The sequence below is a fragment of the Homo sapiens genome, chromosome 21 (assembly GCF_000001405.40).
Source record: "Homo sapiens chromosome 21, GRCh38.p14 Primary Assembly".
Lineage (NCBI taxonomy): Eukaryota > Metazoa > Chordata > Mammalia > Primates > Hominidae > Homo > Homo sapiens.
The window spans coordinates 44,088,445-44,106,806 of NC_000021.9; the positions used below are offsets into that span (position 1 = coordinate 44,088,445).

General features: G+C 46.6%; 1 protein-coding gene across 23 annotated transcripts in view; it reads left to right on the plus strand.

The window, feature by feature from the left end:
* Nucleotides 1-18,108, plus strand: part of TRAPPC10 (trafficking protein particle complex subunit 10) — a 94,244-nt gene extending 76,136 nt beyond the window's left edge. For 16 of the 23 annotated variants that reach the window (XM_011529714.3, XM_011529715.3, NM_003274.5 and 13 more), the window contains 6 exons: nucleotides 1,389-1,489; nucleotides 3,479-3,605; nucleotides 5,619-5,789; nucleotides 9,913-10,090; nucleotides 14,334-14,528; nucleotides 14,849-18,108. In XM_011529714.3, the coding sequence (XP_011528016.1) occupies nucleotides 1,389-1,489; nucleotides 3,479-3,605; nucleotides 5,619-5,789; nucleotides 9,913-10,090; nucleotides 14,334-14,528; nucleotides 14,849-15,087 (1,011 nt within the window). In that variant the 3' untranslated portion in view covers nucleotides 15,088-18,108. The other 7 variants (XM_011529718.3, XM_047440970.1, XM_047440971.1 and 4 more) reach the window with 6 other exon arrangements.

Below are 18,362 nucleotides of genomic sequence, written 5' to 3' on the forward strand. Positions count from 1 at the left end.
TGCCCAAGTCTCGTAGCCCAGAAATCAATCCTGAGGGCCCTGAAACAGCCCAGGGGCCGCAGTATACGCCCAAGAGCAGCGGGGGCAAAGGGCAAGGCATGCCGTCTTTCCAAAGCACGGAGTCACCAGACAAGTCCACGCCTGAAGACGAATGTTGTAATGTTCAGCTTTTGAAGAACCTGAGGAAGTGTCTTTCCCTTAACTCACACAGACGTTCACCATTCACGAAGGTGGCGCTTAGCTCAGCAGGAGCGCGCAGCACTGGTGGCACCTGTGCTATGTGCCGTGTTATCCCGCTCTTCCCTGGCGCTGGTGGCACCTGTGCTGTGTGCCGTGTTATCCCACTCTTCCCTGGCGCTGGCGGCACCTGTGCTGTGTGCCATGTTATCCCACTCTTCCCTGACACTGGCGGCACCTGTGCTATGTGCCGTGTTATCCTCTCTTCCCTGGCGCTGGCGGCACCTGTGCTGTGTGCCGTGTTATCCCACTCTTCTCTGGCGCTGGCGGCACCTGTGCTGTGTGCCGTGTTATCCTCTTTTCCCTGGCACTGGCGGCACCTGTGCTGTGTGCCGTGTTACCCCGCTCTTCCCTGGCGCTGGTGGCACCTGTGCTATGTGCCGTGTTATCCTCTCTTCCCTGGCGCTGGTGGCACCTGTGCTATGTGCCGTGTTATCCTCTCTTCCCTGGCGCTGGTGGCACCTGTGCTGTGTGCTGTGTTATCCTCTCTTCCCTGGCGCTGGTGGCACCTGTGCTATGTGCCGTGTTATCCTCTCTTCCCTGGCACTGGCGGCACGCACGCTGTGTGCTGGGGTATTCACCTCTTCCCTGTGGGGAATAAGGCTTGAGACTTGCTTCCTTCCTGCCCTTAAGGGATGTAATAGCTTTGTCCTCACTGTGCCCCTAAACTGATTTGGTTTTCAGTTACATATTCAGCCTCACATGGATTAAATGCTTAGATAATTCATTAACTATGGAGTAGTTACTGATTGGCTAATGTCATCTGGAAATACATGACTGAAAGCACTTTGTCAAAACCCTGTGCACATTGCAACATGCATGGCTCCGCGGCCCTGCGTGTATGGGAGCAGCAGGTGGGTCTGCTGCTTAGAGGACGGCTGTGCTCTTCCGCCGTTGAGGTGACTCTGGTGATGTGTGCATGTCTTGCCAGTTCTGCGTTCGTTTCTCTTGTCTGTATGCATAGCTTCCTGTTTCTCGTTGGTTTGTGTATGTGTTGGGTAAGGCTTTGCTTCCTGGATAATGAGTGGTTGAAGCCATAATAAAATGTCTAGGGCGTGGGCGGGCACTGCAGGTGAGTCTGGGCAGCAGTGGTGGTGGCTGTGCTGTCCGTCGGCGAGTGGTCTGAGAGTGTCTTTGTGCTTCCTCCTCAGGTGTCGATTGACTGCCCGTGGTCCATCTACTCCACAGTCATCGCACTGACCTTCAGCGTACCCTTCAGGACCACACACAGCCTCCTGTCCTCAGGAACACGGTAACGGAGGCGTAGCGTGCGGGCCCTGGCTTCTTTCCCCAGACTCTTCTAAGTGGAGGTTCCTAATGTTCAAAACTGGCCTTCGTGGTGACCAAGGATGTCTTCTTATGTGACCACAAGGCCATTGTTTGTGTCTTAAAATCCACAATTCCCTGGTGTCCTGTGACATCCAGTTCATATTCAGGTTTTCCCAACTGTCTGAAAATGACCTTTTATGGTTGCTTTGTGTGACTTGGGGTCCAAAATCTCCATCAGACCACTAGATCTCTGTTCATCCTTTCTTCCCTGTTTTCAAGCCATCGACTTGTTCACTTGCAGGCCAGGTTTCCTCTGGACGCCCGCCTTTCTGGATCTGGCTGGATTTGTTAACTAGTTCTCCTGTCCCTGTATTTCTTGTCAATTGCCTGCAACCTCTAGAACAGGAGCTTTTAAGCTCAGCATTAGTGACATTTTGGGCTAGATAACTCTGTTGTAGGGGCTTTCCTGTGTGCTGTAGGGTGTTGAGCAGCACCCCAGGCTCTCCCATGAGATGCCAGTAGCACTCCCCACCTGCAGGTGTGGCAGCCACAGATGTCTGTAGACACTGCCCAGTGTCCTCTGGGTGGGGCGGACGTGCCCCAGTGGAAAACAGCTGCCCTAAAGGCTTGAGTAGACTCCAGTTCTGCTTTGAGGCAGGCGGGGCTGTGTGCTTCCTGTTGACTGCACCGGGAGGCCCACGGTGTCCAGGTGTCCTACCTTAGTGACGGTGCTAGCGTTGATCAATGGGCTCGGGATGCTAGCCTGGCCTCTCACCACAACTTTTTATCCATTGATGATGTGTGGATAATTTGGAAACAAAAACGTCAGACCCATGTTTAGAATGGAACATTATACTAGCAGCTTTTTTCCCCTTCAAATCACAGCAAAGGGAACTGTAGATATTAATAGTTAAAAACATCAATAATCTCTAAAAGAACCTTATTAAAAAATTATTTTTCAGCCGGGCGTGGTGGCTCATGCCTGTAATCCCAGCACTTTGGGAGGCCGAGGCAGGCGGATCACGAGGTCGGGAGTTCAAGACCAGCCTGACCAACATAGTGAAACCCCGTCTCTACTAAAAATACAAAAATTAGCCGGGCATGGTGGCGGGCGCCTGTAATCCCAGCTACTCGGGAGGCTGAGGCAGGAGAATCACTTGAACCTGGGAGGCAGAGGTTGCAGTGAGCTGAGATCGTGCCATTGCACCCCAGCCTGGGCGACAAGAGCAAGACTCTGTCTCAAAAAATAGTAACTATTATTAATATTTTCAAAGTTTTGCATGTAATGGAAATGGATATAAGCCCCGCCTATCATCTCTCAATGGAGAGTCTTCACCTGTAATGAGGAGGGCTGCTGCTGTCTCCCCGTGGCTCCCCAAAGGCCAGTGAGGGTGACCAGCCATGATCACTTAATAAGGCTGGTCAGAAACTATATTCTTTCTTCCATTGCCTCACAGAACTTGCCTCTTTAAAAACTTTTTTTATTTATTTTTATTTGTTATTTTTTTGAGATGGAGTCTCGCCCTGTCACCAGGCTGGAGTGCAGTGGCGTGATCTCAGCTCACTGCAACCTCCACCTCCCAGGTTCAAGCAATGCTCGTGCCTCAGCCTCCCGAGCAGCTGGGATTACAGACACGTGCCACCACGTCTGGCTAATTTTTATATTTTTAGTAGAGATGGGGTTTCACCATGTTGGCCAGGATGGTCTCAATCTCCTGACCTCATAATCTGCCCACCTCGGCCTCCCAAAGTGCTGGGATTACAGGCGTGAGCCACCGTGCCCGGCCAAAAAGGTTTATTTTCTGGCACTTTTCGGTGTGAAATCTGAAGGGAAACTTATGCAACAACTTAGCTTACTTTGCTTTGTTGCTTTTTTGATTCCCCAGGCAGAGAGGGTCTCCTTAACAAAGCTAAGATATATTTAATAAAGTTCTTACATATCAAAATAATACTTTTTGTTTTTCCACTTTAGGAAATATGTTCAAGTTTGTGTCCAGAATTTGTCAGAACTTGACTTTCAGCTGTCAGATAGTTATCTTGTAGATACCGGTGATAGTACCGACCTGCAACTAGTACCACTGAACACGCAGTCCCAGCAGGTAAACATTGTGTAGACCTGAGCATAAACTTCTCAACAGAGAACCAGAGTGTACGGAAATGATGTAGTATGTGTTGCGACTGAGCCTTTAGATAGAACAGCTGCACTGCTGATGAGTAAAGGCTCCTGTGCAGCTCCTCCGGCTGCCCTGAGGCTGGATCGAGGCTTGCTCCTGAGTAAGCGGGTGGCTGGATGGATGAATTCTTCTTTTTAGAAGAATTAAATCTGAAACTGGTCCCACTCTATGCGTAGACGTGTGCAGATCCAAGCTTCTGTTTGAACGCACTGTTGATTGCATGGGCACTGCTCCACTCTGCCCAGAGCCTGATGCCTGCCAGTGCCAGAGCGATGGTGCCCGACACCTTGGTGCCTTTGTAAAAGAGCCATGCTTGTGCCTGCATCTGGACCTTGCTTTTTCTGTTTATGGCTCGCTGCCTGGATGAATCTTGAACTTGCTTTTTCCGTTTATCTTTCACGTGTGTTTTTAGGCAGTAAATGCTGAGTGTTTAGAGATCAAAGGCTTCCTTAATGGATGTCTGAATCTCAGCATTTTCAAAGGATTTGCCCCCACTAATCCTTTAGCTCTTTCAGATATCACTGGGGGCTCATCACTGTGCTTTTAGGTGTGGACTTTACATGTAATAGCGGTGTTCAGCCCCTGCATTAGGTTGTGCTGGTTCCTAAAATAATTTAAATATAAAATAATTGGCTGGATGTAAAGATTACTTTTTATCTTATTTTTTAAATTTTTATTTATCTTTTTTTGAGATGGAGTTTCGTTCTTGTCGCCCAGGCTGGAATGCAATCGTGTGATCTTGCCTCACTGCAACCTCTGCCTCCTGGGTTCAAGCGATTCTCCTGTCTCAGCCTCCTGAGTAGCTGGGATTACAGGCACCCGCCAACACGCCCAGCTAATTTTTGTATTTTTAATAGAGACGTGGTTTCACCATGTTGGTCAGGCTGGTCTTCAACTCTTGGCCTCAGGTGAACCACCCACCTTGGCCTCCTAAAGTGTTGGGATTATAGCCATGAGCCACCACCTCTAGCCAAGATGTACTCTTTAATTAATTGATGATATATTCCCCTGTTTTGGAGCTGCATGGGATATGCTATATATTAATTAATATCCTTTGGGCATGGTGGCTCACACCTGTGATCCCAACACTTTGGGAGGCCCAGATGGGTGGATCACTTGAGCTCAGGAGTTTGAGACCAGCCTGAGCAACGTGGCAAACCCCATCTCTACAAATACAAAAATTAGTCAGGCATGGTGGCACACACCTGGATTCCCAGCTACCCAGGAAGCTGAGGTGAGAAGATCTCTTGAACCTGGGAGGTTGGGCTGCAATGAGCTGTGATCACACCACAGCACTCCAGCCTGGGTGACAGAGTGAGACCCTGTCTCTAAAAAAGGGAAAAAAAAAATCAGCGGGGCGTGGTGGCTCACACCTGTAATCCCAGCACTTTGGGAGGCCGAGGCAGGTGGATTGCCTGAGCTCAGGAATTCAAGACCAGCCTGGGCAACACGGTGAAACCCTGTCTCTACTAGAATACAAAAAATGAGCTGGGCATGGCGGCGTGCATCTGTAGTCCCAGCTACTCGGGAGGCTGATGCGGAAGAATCACTTGAACCCAGGAGGTGGAGGTTGCAGTGAGCCGAGATCCTATCACTGCACTCCAGCCTGGGCGACAAAGCGAGACTCCATTTCAAAAAGAAAAAAAAATTAAGCTACTTTTTAATGATCTCATATGATATAAAACTTATGGTATCATAAAAAGTTAAAGATTTACCAATTTTGTACAATCTTCTGCTGGGACAAGGCCAGGCAAAGGGAGTCAGGGCAGGGACAGGTGCTGTGGGGCCTAAAGCAGCATGCATAGGCGTGCTGTGAGGCGGGGCCTGCCCATGGTGTCTGCTCAGCACCCTTCGCATGGCGTGTGTTTCGCTGCAGTGTCTGTGTCCTCTTTGCGGTTATGGTGCTGTGTGAGCAGTGACCCCCAACTCTCTTTCCAGCCCATCTACAGCAAGCAGTCGGTGTTCTTCGTCTGGGAACTCAAGTGGACAGAAGAGCCTCCCCCTTCTCTGCATTGCCGGTTCTCTGTTGGATTTTCCCCAGCTTCTGAGGAACAGCTGTCTATCTCCTTAAAGCCGTATACTTATGAATTTAAAGTGGAAAATTTTTTTGTAAGTGATGTATTATTTTGGGAGGGTGGGGGTGAAAAAATGAAAGATGGCATTATGTTCTTTATAATCTGAAGAACTGAATAGACAGCTTCTGTCAACATAATGAAGGAGCAGCTGGAGAAAAACAGTTGTTGGGGTAGTTGAATCATTGACTGTCTTTATTTTAGAACCCCAGGTCCTTCTCAAGTGACACATCTGAGATGCCCACACTCCTGGGGGCATCTCTAAGAGGAGTGTTTGTCATTTGGAAAGCCCAAAGATTCCTTTTTTCTTCTATCTTTTTCCCTTTCTCATGTTGACTTAGTAACTCCCTGGAAATATTTCTTGGAGTCATTTCATCTTCAGGGGCATTGCTTTCTAAGGCATATCTCTAGTTTTTCAAAGAAAAGCTGAAAACATATGAAAACCTGCTAGCTGAGTATTGTGAAGATTTTCTTAGAACTTGTGCATCATTTGGTAGAAGCCAATTTGAGTGTGGAATGAAGAGTAGCCTTGAGCTAGGTGAGTAGATACAGGTGTGTGCTGTGTTCCTTTAGGGAGATGATTTGACTTAATGTTTTGCAATTTTGTGATACTTTCTTTTCTTCTCTTTACTATTTGAAATTATCAAACAATGTTTATTTGAAGTGTTTGTCTTTATAGTTTTGATATTAGCAGTTTTTTTCTATCTTCTTCCATCCAAGACAAATTGTTTTGACCTTCATGTTTTATATAACTCTCCTTAAATAAATTTAAATGAATAAATAAAACCACAAATTATTAAATAATTTAATTAAATCAAATAATAGTATATATTATAATAATAATTTATATATAAACAAATTATTTATTTATGAGACAAGGTCTCACTCTGTTGCCCAGGCTGGAGTGCAGTGGCACAATCATAGCTCACTGCAGCCTGGACCTTCTGGGCTCATTATCTTCCCACCTCAGCCTGCCAAGTAGCTGGGACCACAGGCACGTGTCACCACACCTGGCTAATTATTTTTATTTTATTTTATTTATTTATTTATTTATTTATTTATTTTCGAGACGGAGTTTCACACTTGTTGCCCAGGCTGGAGTGCAATGGCACGATCTCGGCTCACCACAACCTCTGCCTCCCAGGTTCAAGCGATTCTCCTGCCTCAGCCTCCTGCGTAGCTGGGATTACAGGCATGCACCACCACGCCTGGCTAATTTTTTGTAGAGGCGGTGTTTCTCCATGTTGATCAGGCTGGTCTCAAACTCTCTACCTCAGGTGATCCACCTACCTTGGCCTCCCAAAGTGCTGGGATTACAGGTGTGAGCCACTGTGCCCGGCTAAAGTATGGGTTTTTTTTTGTTTTTTGTTTTGTTTTGTTTTTTTGAGACAGAGACTCGCTGTGTCGCCCAGGCTGGAGTGCAGTGGCGCGATCTCGGCTCACTGCAACCTCCGCCCCTCTAGGTTTAAGCAATTATCTGCCTCAGTCTCCGGAGTAGCTGGGATAACAGGCATGTGCTGTGCCACCACGCCTGGCTAATTTTTTGTATTTTTAGTAGAGATGGGGTTTCACCATCTTGGCCAGGCTGGTCTTGAACTCCTGACCTCATGATCCACCCCGCTTGGCCTCCCAGAGTGCTGGGATAACAAGCATGAGCCGCCGTGCCTGGCCCAAAGTACGGGTTTGTATGTTGCTGTATCTATTCAATTCTCCTGGTAAAGACCTGAGTGGAATTTCTGGGTCATAGGGTAACTCTGTGGTTAGCTTTTTGAGCAACTGCCAACTTTTTCCAGAGGGCTCTACATTCCCACCAGCAACATAGTGGATTCCAGCTGGGACCCAGAGAGTCCCAGCTTCTGTGTGTCCTGCCAGCACTTGTCTCACTGTGTTTTTGGTTGTGGCTGTCCCAATTGGCAGGCGTTTCCCCAGTGGCTGGTGATGTGCTGCGGCTCGTGGGCGTGTGGCCCATTTTTCTGCCTTCTTTGGAAGGATGTCTGTTCAGATCCTTTCCCCATGTTTAAATAGGGTTATTTGTTTTTTATTATTGAATTGTAAGTTCTTTATATATCCTAGGTACCAGGTCCTTATATATGATTTGCAAGTATTTTCTTCCATTTGTTGTCTTTTGAAGCACCAAAGTTAAATTTTGATGAAATCCAATTCAACTCTCTCTTTTATTGCTTAAATTTTTTGCTTTGGACCTAGAAAATCATTGCCTTTGGTCAAAAAGATTTTCTCTTGCATTTCCTTCCAAGATGTTCGTAATTTGAGCACTTGCATTTAGGTCTGTGATCTACTTTGACTTAATTTCTGTGTATGGTGAGAGGTAGGGTCCAAATTTGTTCTTTTCAAATGACCCAGCAGGTGTCCCTATCCCATCTGTCATGACGATGCTTTCCTCCCTGCAGGGTGGCCCTGGCCCCCTTGCCAGATTCCAGCTGGCCGTCAGTGCTCGCGTGTCTCTCTGAAGAGGCTCTGCGGTTCTGGTCCCTGTGCCTGAGCTCCAGGTGCCGCCAGGTGAGGCCCCTGCTGCTCGCCTTGGGCTGTGCTTTCCCCCAGCCACTCTCCTTCCCAGATGCAGCCCAGAGCAGCGTTCAGGCACACGCAGGTCTCATCACACCCCACTGTGTCCTACTGCAACTCTGGGTGTCCTTCAAGCCCTGAGGCAAATCTGCATTCTTTGCTGGATTCAGAAACATTCAGACTGTGCCCCAGCCAGAAGCTTCTGAGGAGGAGGTATTTCAGTGGGCCTCTAGCACAGTGTTCTACTGCTTCAGTTCCCAGGACCTACGGGCACCCGGGCCCACGGCTGGCACTTTTGCATCTGTGTATTTGGGATCTTTTCTGCCCTGTGGCTTGAGAGCCCCAGGAAGTCCCAGCATGGCCCCTCTTGAGACTGGTGGGAGTTTGTCCCATGTCCGAACAGAGGTAATTGGGCATTTGGTAGGAGATCACCTAGAAAGGCCGCTCTTGGGACTGCTGTTTAGGCTGTGAACTCCCATAAAACGGCTTCATCTTGGCCTCAGACTCCAGACAAATGCTTCTTAATATACTGAAATCTCTTCTTTGAACATTTTACAATGCCAATAGAACACTTTTTAAGTCAAGCTATACTGTATTACACACGCTCGCGCGCACACACAACGCTTCCCCTCAGAAGTGGAACTGCCAGGTTGTAGTGCATGAGCCCTTTTTCATCTTGGCAGTGGCAGATGTGTTTTGATCGTTTGTCATGGGTGGTGGTAGAATGTTAAGCATGTTTGAATAGCCACCGAGAATAGGTTGATTATGGAAAGAAAACACGGACAAAGTAGATTATGGACTGAATTGGGTTATACCAAGGAATTCCTGTTGCTTTTGCTAGTTGTAATAATAGCATTGTGTTTTGGTAAGAAAAAGGCCTTAGTGTTTAGTAATGCATACTGAAGCAGATGGGGCAAAATAACAGGTTGTCTGAAATTTGCTTTATTTTTTTATTTTATTTTATTTTTTTAGACAAGAGTCTTGCTCTGTCACCCAGGCTACAGTGCAGTGGTGCGATCTCAGCTCACTGCAACCTTTGCCTCTTGGGTTCAAGGGAATCTCCTGCTAAGTAATCCAAGTAGCTGGGATTACAGGCACCTGCCACTGTACCCGGCTAATTTTTGTATTTTTAGTAGAGACGGGGTTTCACCATGTTGCCCAGGCTGGTCTCGAACTCCTGACCTCAAGTGATCTGCCCACCTCGGCCTCCCAAAGTGCTGGGATTACAGGCGTGAGCCACCATGCCTGGCCTGAAATTCGCTTTAAATTACCTCAGGCAAATACAGAAATGTCCATGGCTTGATAAGAGGATGCTGAGGCAGCAAGATGCTGAGATCTCAGGATCTGGGTGATAGGCGGCTGGAAGGGCTCTGTGCTATCCTTTCTTCCTGTGGTTGAAAATGTTCATAATTTAAAGAAGGATGTTAAGGTTCGGAGTGTAGGACTTCCGAAAACATTGCATCTCCAGTGGGAATTATTGAGAGTGAGTGGCGACAGTTGCTCTAAGGCCAGCCGAGCAGATAGGTGTCTATCCTCAGCTCTCCAGGGTCTGTGGGCAGCTCTGCTTTTTCCTCTAGTTGCATTTCTTGAGGCCACTTAGGTACATTTCCTTTCTATTCTCTCCCTTTCCTGCCCAGACATTATACAACGTGAAGGCTGAGATCTTTCCCCCTTCGGGAATGGAGTATTGCAGAACAGGCTCCCTCTGCTCCCTGGAGGTTTTGATCACGAGGCTCTCAGACCTCTTGGAGGTGGATAAAGATGAAGCACTGACTGAATCTGATGAGCATTTTTCGACAAAGCTTATGTATGAAGGTAGGTGGTCTCGAACCCATGGGCTCAAGCAGTCCTCCCGCCTTGGCCTCCCAGAGTGTTGGGATTACAGGTGTGAGGCACTGCACTCAGCCTATCTTGCATTTTGAATGGCTCTTTTACCCAGGCATCATAGCGTTACACCCTGTGCCATTAGTCATGTGGGAAACATGGTTTCCTGAGTTGTGCAGATCTTCCAAATGTGGGCACCTTTCGTTTGACAATATTTTTTTAAAATCTGCATTTGTGATCTCTCAGGGAGGGCTTGGAGCATCAGAACTCTTTCAAGCTCACAGTGGCAAGTGTAAGTTTTCCAAAATTCTGATTTTTGCTTAAAGTCTCAGATGGCATCATTGGCAGCAAATAGTCGTGTTGTTTTCTTTGAAGTGACAGGCTTACATCATTCATTTTTAATCAGACGTCTACCAAATACCCAACACTGAATAACTAGCTTCCCCAGCGCTCTTGCAAGTGAAAAGGGCGTTCTGTGAAAACAGCGGCTATTTCAGCTCGCAGCACCGAGCGCTCCCCGTGTGCTTTCCCTGAGCCAGCTGTCATTCTGCAGCAGAGACCCAGAGAATGTCAAGAACACAAGCACTCAAGAATGGAAATAACTCAAACGTCCTTCAGCTCGAGAGCGGTTAAACTGGCACATCTGATTCCTCCTCAGCAGTGAAACAGAAGGGACTGTTGACACACGCAGTGCTGTGGTTGGATCTCAAGGGCATTATACTAAGAGAAAAACGCCAGTCCTATAAGGAGGTGTACTGTGTGATTCCATTTCTAAATGACATCCTCAAAATGCCAGCCTCAGAAGGAGAGCGGGTCAGTGTTCCACGGAGCAGTGGGAGGCAGCAGGAGGCCGTCCTCTGTGGTAATGGAGAGTTCTGGGCCAGGGCCGCTGTGGTTGTTACACGAATCTACACATGTGACAAATGCCATAGAATTAGACCCAAAGAATGCCTGCGAAAGCTGCTGAAATCCAGTGGGGTCTGCAGCCTGGTTCACTCTGTAGTGAAATCCAGTGGGGTCTGCAGCCTGGTTCTATCTGTATTGAAATCCAGTGGGGTCTGCAGCCTGGTCCACTCTGTAGTGAAATCCAGTGTGGTCTGCAGCCTGGTTCTATCTGTATTGAAATCCAGTGGGGTCTGCAGCCTGGTCCACTCTGTAGTGAAATCCAGTGGGGTCTGCAGCCTGGTTCTAGCTGTATTGAAATCCAGTGGGGTCTGCAGCCTGGTCCACTCTGTAGTGAAATCCAGTGGGGTCTGCAGCCTGGTTCTATCTGTATTGAAATCCAGTGGGGTCTGCAGCCTGGTTCACTCTGTAGTGAAATCCAGTGGGGTCTGCAGCCTGGGTCACTGTATGGTACCAGTGTCAGCTTCCTGTGTTACACGAGATGGCACAGTTGGGTGAAGCTGGTGATGAAGGTATGTGACCCCTCTACTACTTTTACAACTTCTTGTGAGTCTATAAACATTTCACAATTAAAAAAAAGTCTACTCAGGAGCTGAATTTAATAAAATGAGCACTTTTGACTGCTTTGTGAAGCGTGGCATTTTTTTTTTTGTTTTTTTGCTGTGAGTTCATGGTAGTAAAGAACATGAGTGACATGACTGCGCAGTCTGGCCCGAGTTCATGCCATTGTGGTTGCCCCAGCAGCGCGAGGTCAGCAGCGTAGAAAGGCAGCAGTGTGAAAGCTATGAGCTTGCGGGTGCCCTGAGAGCCACACTCTGAGAACTGTCACTCCTTTGCCTTCCTCCTGACACTCCTAGGGCCTCTGCATGTCCTGTAGTAGCTCCTGTCCTCAAAGGTCCCCCATCCCCAACTACAGGATGTCCACCTCCCTGAGCCCTTCTCTGCTGCTCGTGGCCTTCTGGTCACTCACTCCCCCTGGGCGGTTGCTCGGTATCCTCATGATGGGAAGCTGTGACCTCTTTACCAGGTCTACTGCTACTGGATGGCAAGGATCCTGTCTTGCTTACTTTCATATCTCCAGGGCTAGTCCCAGTGAATGATCACTTAAGTGTTTGAATTGCATTGAATTACATGATGGTTGTGTTTTAATAATTAATGTTAATAATAACACCTGCCATATATTAAGACACTACCATGTCCCAGGAGTGGTACTAAGTGCTTTACATACAAGGGGTCTTCAAAAAAATCATGGAAGATACGTTATGAAAAAACTATGCATGGATTTCAACACTTTTTGCACCAAAATAAGCTCCTACTCACTGAGCAGGATCTAGTTTGAGGCACTAAGAAGGATAAGACATCAGTTTTAAAAGAGCCCCTATCAGAGCAACATGAATTCTGCTAAAATTAAATCAAGAACCAACATTGGCCGGGTGCAGTGGCTCACGCCTGTAATCCCAGCACTTTGGGGGGCTGAGGCAGGCGGATCACCTGAGGTCAGGAGTTCAAGATCAGCCTGGCTAATATGGCGAAACCCCATCTCTACTAAGAATACAAAAATTAGCTGGGCGTGGTGGCAGGCGCCTATAAGCCCAGCTACTTGGGAGGCTGAGGCAGGAGAATTGCCTGAACCCAGGAGGCGGAGGTTGCAGTGAGCCAAAATTGCGCCACTGCACTCCAGCCTGGGCAACGAGCAAAACTCCGCCTCAACAACAACAACAACAACAAAACAACCAACATCAAATTTATGGTGAAGCTTGGGTGGAAGAATGGTGAAATCATTGATGCTTTATGAAAAGTTTATGAAATTCTTTGGACAGTGCCCCAAAGAATTAGTAGTTTGCAAATGGATATCTTGTTTTAAGAAGGGACGAGATGATGCTGAAGATTAAGGCCATAGCAAGCAGACCATCCACATCCATTTTCAAGGAAAAAATTCACCTTGTTCATGCCCTAATTGGAGGGAACTGACAACAGCAGAAATGACAGCCAACACCGCAGACATCTGAACTGGTTCAGCTTATGCAATTACGCCTGAAGGGTGAGCAAGCGTTCCACTCAGTGGGTGCCAAAACCCTAGTACCCAGGTCCGTGGCCGACCAGAGCAGAGCTTCCCATGGAAACTTCAAACACACGGGATCAAGATCCTGAAGCATTTACTCAAAGAACCATAACAGGAGATGCAGTGTGGCCTTCCCAGTACCATCCTGAAGACAAAGCAGACACGGCAATGGCTACCAAGAGGTGGGGTGGCCCCACCAAAGCAGAAGCAGACTGGTCAAGAGCAGAGGCCACAGCAACAGGTTTTTGGGATACTCAAGGCATTTTGCTTGTTGACTTTCTGGAGAGTCAAAGGACAGCAGCGTCTGTGTATTATGAGATTGTTTTGAGGAAGATAGCAAGAGCTTTGGTAGAAAAACCCCTGGGGAAGCTTCACCAGAGAGTCCTCCTCCACCACGACAAAGCTCCTGCTCATTCCTCTAACAAGCCCAACTTCGTGAGGGTTTCTATGGGAAATCATGAGGCATCCACCTTGTGGACCTGATTCGGCTCCTTCTGACTGATTTTGGTTTCCTGATCTTAAGAAGTCTTTAAAAGGCACCCATTTTTATTCAGCTAATAATGTAGAGAAAGACTGCGTTGACATGGCTAAATTCTCAGGCCTCCCAGTTCTTCAGGGATGGACTAAATGGCATCGTAAGCAATGGCATCATTGCTTACAAACATGTCTTGACCTTGGTGGGGCTTATGTTGAGAAATAAAGCTTATATTTTCTGTTTTCATCTTTGGATTCCATTTTTGCATGAACTTTTTGTAGTTCCCTCATACGTATTCTCTTTCCATCCTTAAAAAGCAGCTCTGTGAGGCTGGTGGTGGTCTCAGCACTATACAGCGGTCATTGAGCCTGGAGGCCTTGGGGTGCTCTTCTGAGTGGCAGAGTTGGCTTCAGACCCAGTGGTCTTGGATACTGCCACTTACCAGACAGAACCCATTAACTGCCAAAGTCACCATACTGTGGAAGATGACACAAAAATTTGAAAACAAAATTAAATCATTTATTAACCTCACAGGAAAAATGCAGTTTTCTGTACACGTCCAGCATAATTCATTCTAATCCAGAACTAATTGAAATTGGACTCAATGAAATAGGGGTTGCCACCGTGAAAGTGCATGGCTTTATCTTCAGGCGCAGCTACAAGGCACTGGGCTCTGTGTCCGCAGTGTTTTGTCAGACAGCGTTGGGTGAGAGGATTGGGTAACGACGGCCGTGACTCTCGCCTGAGTACTGGAAGGCCCGTCCTGGATGACACATCGCTTCCTCTCGTTTCAGTTGTCGACAACAGTAGCAACTGGGCAGTGTGTGGGAAAAGCTGCGGTGTCATCTCCATGCCAGTGGCTGCTCGGGCCACTCACAGGGTCCACATGGAAGTGATGCCGCTCTTCGCCGGGTATCTCCCCCTGCCCGACGTCAGGCTGTTCAAGTACCTCCCCCATCATTCTGCACACTCCTCCCAACTGGACGCTGGTAAGGACTTTGGAAGAAAAAGTTTACCTTCAGTATTTGAGCAGGTGAGCACTTTGTGCGAGAGGTGATAAACTTATGACTGAGCAGGTTGGAGAACTAGCGGCGTGTTTTCAGTGCCGGTAGAAACTGGTACTAGAAGCCTCATCCGCTGTTAGAATCTTAGGCACCTGCTCTGAAAGCCAAGCCTCTGTGCACAGAGTGCTCTGTAAAGGGGCAGCCTCGGGTGGCATTCTGCACGTTCAGCCTGGCTCCGTGTGGCTTTGCCCGTCCCCAGGTGAGTGTCGGCGCAGCTTGGGTCTAACTTCCTGTGTGTTTTGCAGACAGCTGGATAGAAAACGACAGCCTGTCAGTAGACAAGCACGGGGACGACCAGCCGGACAGCAGCAGCCTCAAGAGCAGGGGCAGCGTGCATTCGGCCTGCAGCAGCGAGCACAAAGGCCTACCCATGCCCCGGCTGCAGGCACTGCCGGCCGGCCAGGTCTTCAACTCCAGCTCGGGCACACAAGTCCTGGTCATCCCCAGCCAAGATGACCACGTCCTGGAAGTCAGTGTAACATGACAACGCCAGGGTGAACACACGCCACTTCCCAGCTAGGAGTGCACTTTATGGGACTGTGACTGGACTCTTCCGTTCTGGCTCCAGCCAGACCTTCAGTGGTCCTGCCTGGCCGTGGGGACATCAGAGAGTGTCATCACGCAGCTGGCCAGCTGAGTTCTGTTGTTGTTTTCATGCCGCCTGTGATCTCAGATTCCTGCTTTTCTCACCCCGTCCCCATGCTGGTGTCCGACGCCGCTTACTCAGAGCCCTGGCCTCCCTCCCCCTACCTCACACGCTGCTCATGAAAGTTTCCACCCACGCTGTCTCCACGGAACAGCCTCCGTCTGCTGGCTCTTCGTGGAAGGCCATTTGTCTTTCAGGTAGACACTCAGCAGCCCTCACGGTCTTAGTGACGTGTGTGCCTTTCTGGTCACACAGCTGCCCAGTTTCCTGATCGGGGTGGATTTGTGTCCCCTAAGGGGTAAAACAGCCGTTTACCGCAGATCCTCTCATTGTGCTTTTCTAGAATAACACCCTTCTAGGGGAGGCGGGTGGGGGAGGGAGGGATCATAACCCCTTCTGTGCCTTGGGATGCCGGAGCTGGGGGACCTGGAGGCCCATCAGCCGGAGCCACGTGAAAGGTACTGAAGAAAGCTGAGACCCGGCTGTGAGGAGCGCCTCAGCGGTGAGGTGGTTTAGGGATAAATGTTTCTGGAACCCTGTGGTCCCCCATAATGTTGATAGAATATCATATGCACTGGGAGTTAAATATATTTAATTTAATGATCATTATATATGTGGGGGTTAATATGTTGTTTTTCTGTCCCTTTAAAGTCTTTACATGTAATTGTAGCTGTATAATCGTTATTTTTCTTTTGCATCTTAAGTCTTAGAAATTAAGATATTCCATCGTGAGGATGAGAGAGGTCCTCAGTGTGTTTTTGGTCTGGTTGTAGGGAAGGACTCAAGTCCTGGAATGTCCTCCACTGGTCTACTGAGTTGCAGTCACACTGTTCCAATGGATTATTTGCTTTCGGTTGTAAATTTAATTGTACATATGGTTGATTTATTATTTTTAAAAATACAGACTAACTGATGTAATGTTTATGTATAAGTTGCACCAAAAATCAAGGACAAAAATAAGTGTGTTTGTTTTTACAGGTGTGAAAGTCACAGCTTGTAAATAAGTGTTGTATGTATTAAACCTTTTCCAGTTCTCCAAAGCGATGTATTTTTGTACACTTGAAATAGAGTACTCTTAATTTACTGGGCAAATGTGCTTGGAATTGAACTTGACAAGATTAGCTCAAGCAGATAGAGTCGGGTCCAGCAGTGGGTGGCCCTCGTGTGAATCCCCGTGGATGTGCAAGTTGTGGAGAGAAGGAGCACCGGGTTCCTGCCCAGCACTGTGCTTGCGGGAGGCGGTGGGGCATGGGAGGAAGGAGGCACAGACCGGGGAAATATGACAGCCGTCATTTCCAGTATTCTCTGTGTTGTCTTTTAGCTCATTCAATAAATAAAGGTGGTGTGATTTTTTTTTCCTCCTGTCTTTTTCATTTGTAGAAACTGGAGACGTGTAAAGAAGATAAATAATTGTGTAATTAAACTTTCCAGAAATTTATCTTCCTCATGTGCAGTTTAACAAACTTGGTCAAACTAGTTAGCAAATTAGAACTTCAGAATCTAATGATAGTTTAGGGTTTCTAAAATAAGGTTTTTTATTGTAAAAATTGACGATTGCCCTGCATTTCTACCAAGTCCTGTGAATAAAGAGATGGGAGATTTGATTCCGTCAGAAGAGACTGTAATCCGTGTCGTCAGCCTGGGAGCCTTCCCCAGTGTAATGTAGCTTTCTCTCTTACCTTCTGGAAGAGGGAATGTTTCATTTATTACTGTTTGATTTTCTTGTATCTGGTTCTACTCCCAGGATGAAATTATCCAACTACATATATATTTAGAGGAAGAAAGTGAAGGGGAAATTTAAAATGTTTACGGCGCTTAATTGCCTGGAAATGAAATGAAATCAAATTTATCAGTTTTTTTCCCCCTAATTACCCAAAAGATCTTTTGCAAACTATGTTACATGAATGCTTCTGCCTCTTTAAGACAAAGAAGAATGTCACCCAAAATTGTCATTTTTTTCTTAATGTTCATCATAAAAGTCCTAAAAGAGTAACTGTAATTGGATGTTTATTGTTTTTATCTAAAGTAAGGTGTATGTGTTTGAGACAAGCTGGTTTTGTTGATAAAGAGATGTTAAATAATTGTGAAGCCAGATATGCAATGTGTATCTGAAAAGCAAGGAATTTGCAGCCGTTTTACAAATATCTGTGGAACATGTAAATACTGTCAAATGGAAAATAAAATAAGTTATAATTTTTGTGAATTTCATGGGATGTCCTATGATTGGAAAAATTATAACTCTTCTGATTCTAATGTGGAAATTGTTGTATTTAATCTGAAAATGACTTTACCTACAACAGTTCCATTGTCAGCACAGCCTAGGAAGGTCAGATCCTGTATTAATTACTCTTAGTGGAGATGCCAGATATCCCATACAGAATTAGCAGAGAAAATACACACAGGCTTCTATTCAAATTTTCTTTAGTGCTTAAAATTAAGTTTTAAAATGAAATCAGACACTGCAGGTTTGTATATAAAATGAAAAGCTATACTACTTTTTACAAAAGGGCAAACTGGGCTGATGTAAATGTTTTACTTTCAACTGTGTTCTTTAAAATAAATCCTACCTGGTTTTTAAATTTTATTTTTCATGAAAATGCTCCTTTCTCTACATTTATTCATCCTATATACATCAGGCTGTAAGACCCCCCCCAGTCATCATTAATACAATGTGTTGGGATTCTGTGACTGGAAAAGGTGACAAGTTGGTGACTTTGACACTGCAGGTATTCCATTTTCATGGTTTACTATGAAAAGTCATTTTTCATATTATGTAATATATTGTTAGATTAAAACCATTGTATTAAGACTTTAAAATGTAAGCATTGTAATTCTGAAAATACACATTTTAAGAAGAAACTATTTTGCACTGGATCTTTTGCTGCGACATGGTGTGACAACAGTATGTAATGTGAAGATTTTATTGTTTTATCTCCCTAGTCCTTGTTCCTGACTCTTGGGCATAGATTATTTGCCTTTTGGGAAACATTCGGATTATTTTTTTTTTTTTTTTTTTTTTTTTCTCTGAGACAGTCATGCTCTGTTGCCTAGGCTGGAGTGCAATGGCGCGATCTGGGCTCACTGCAGCCTCCGCCTCCCAGGTTCAAGCCATT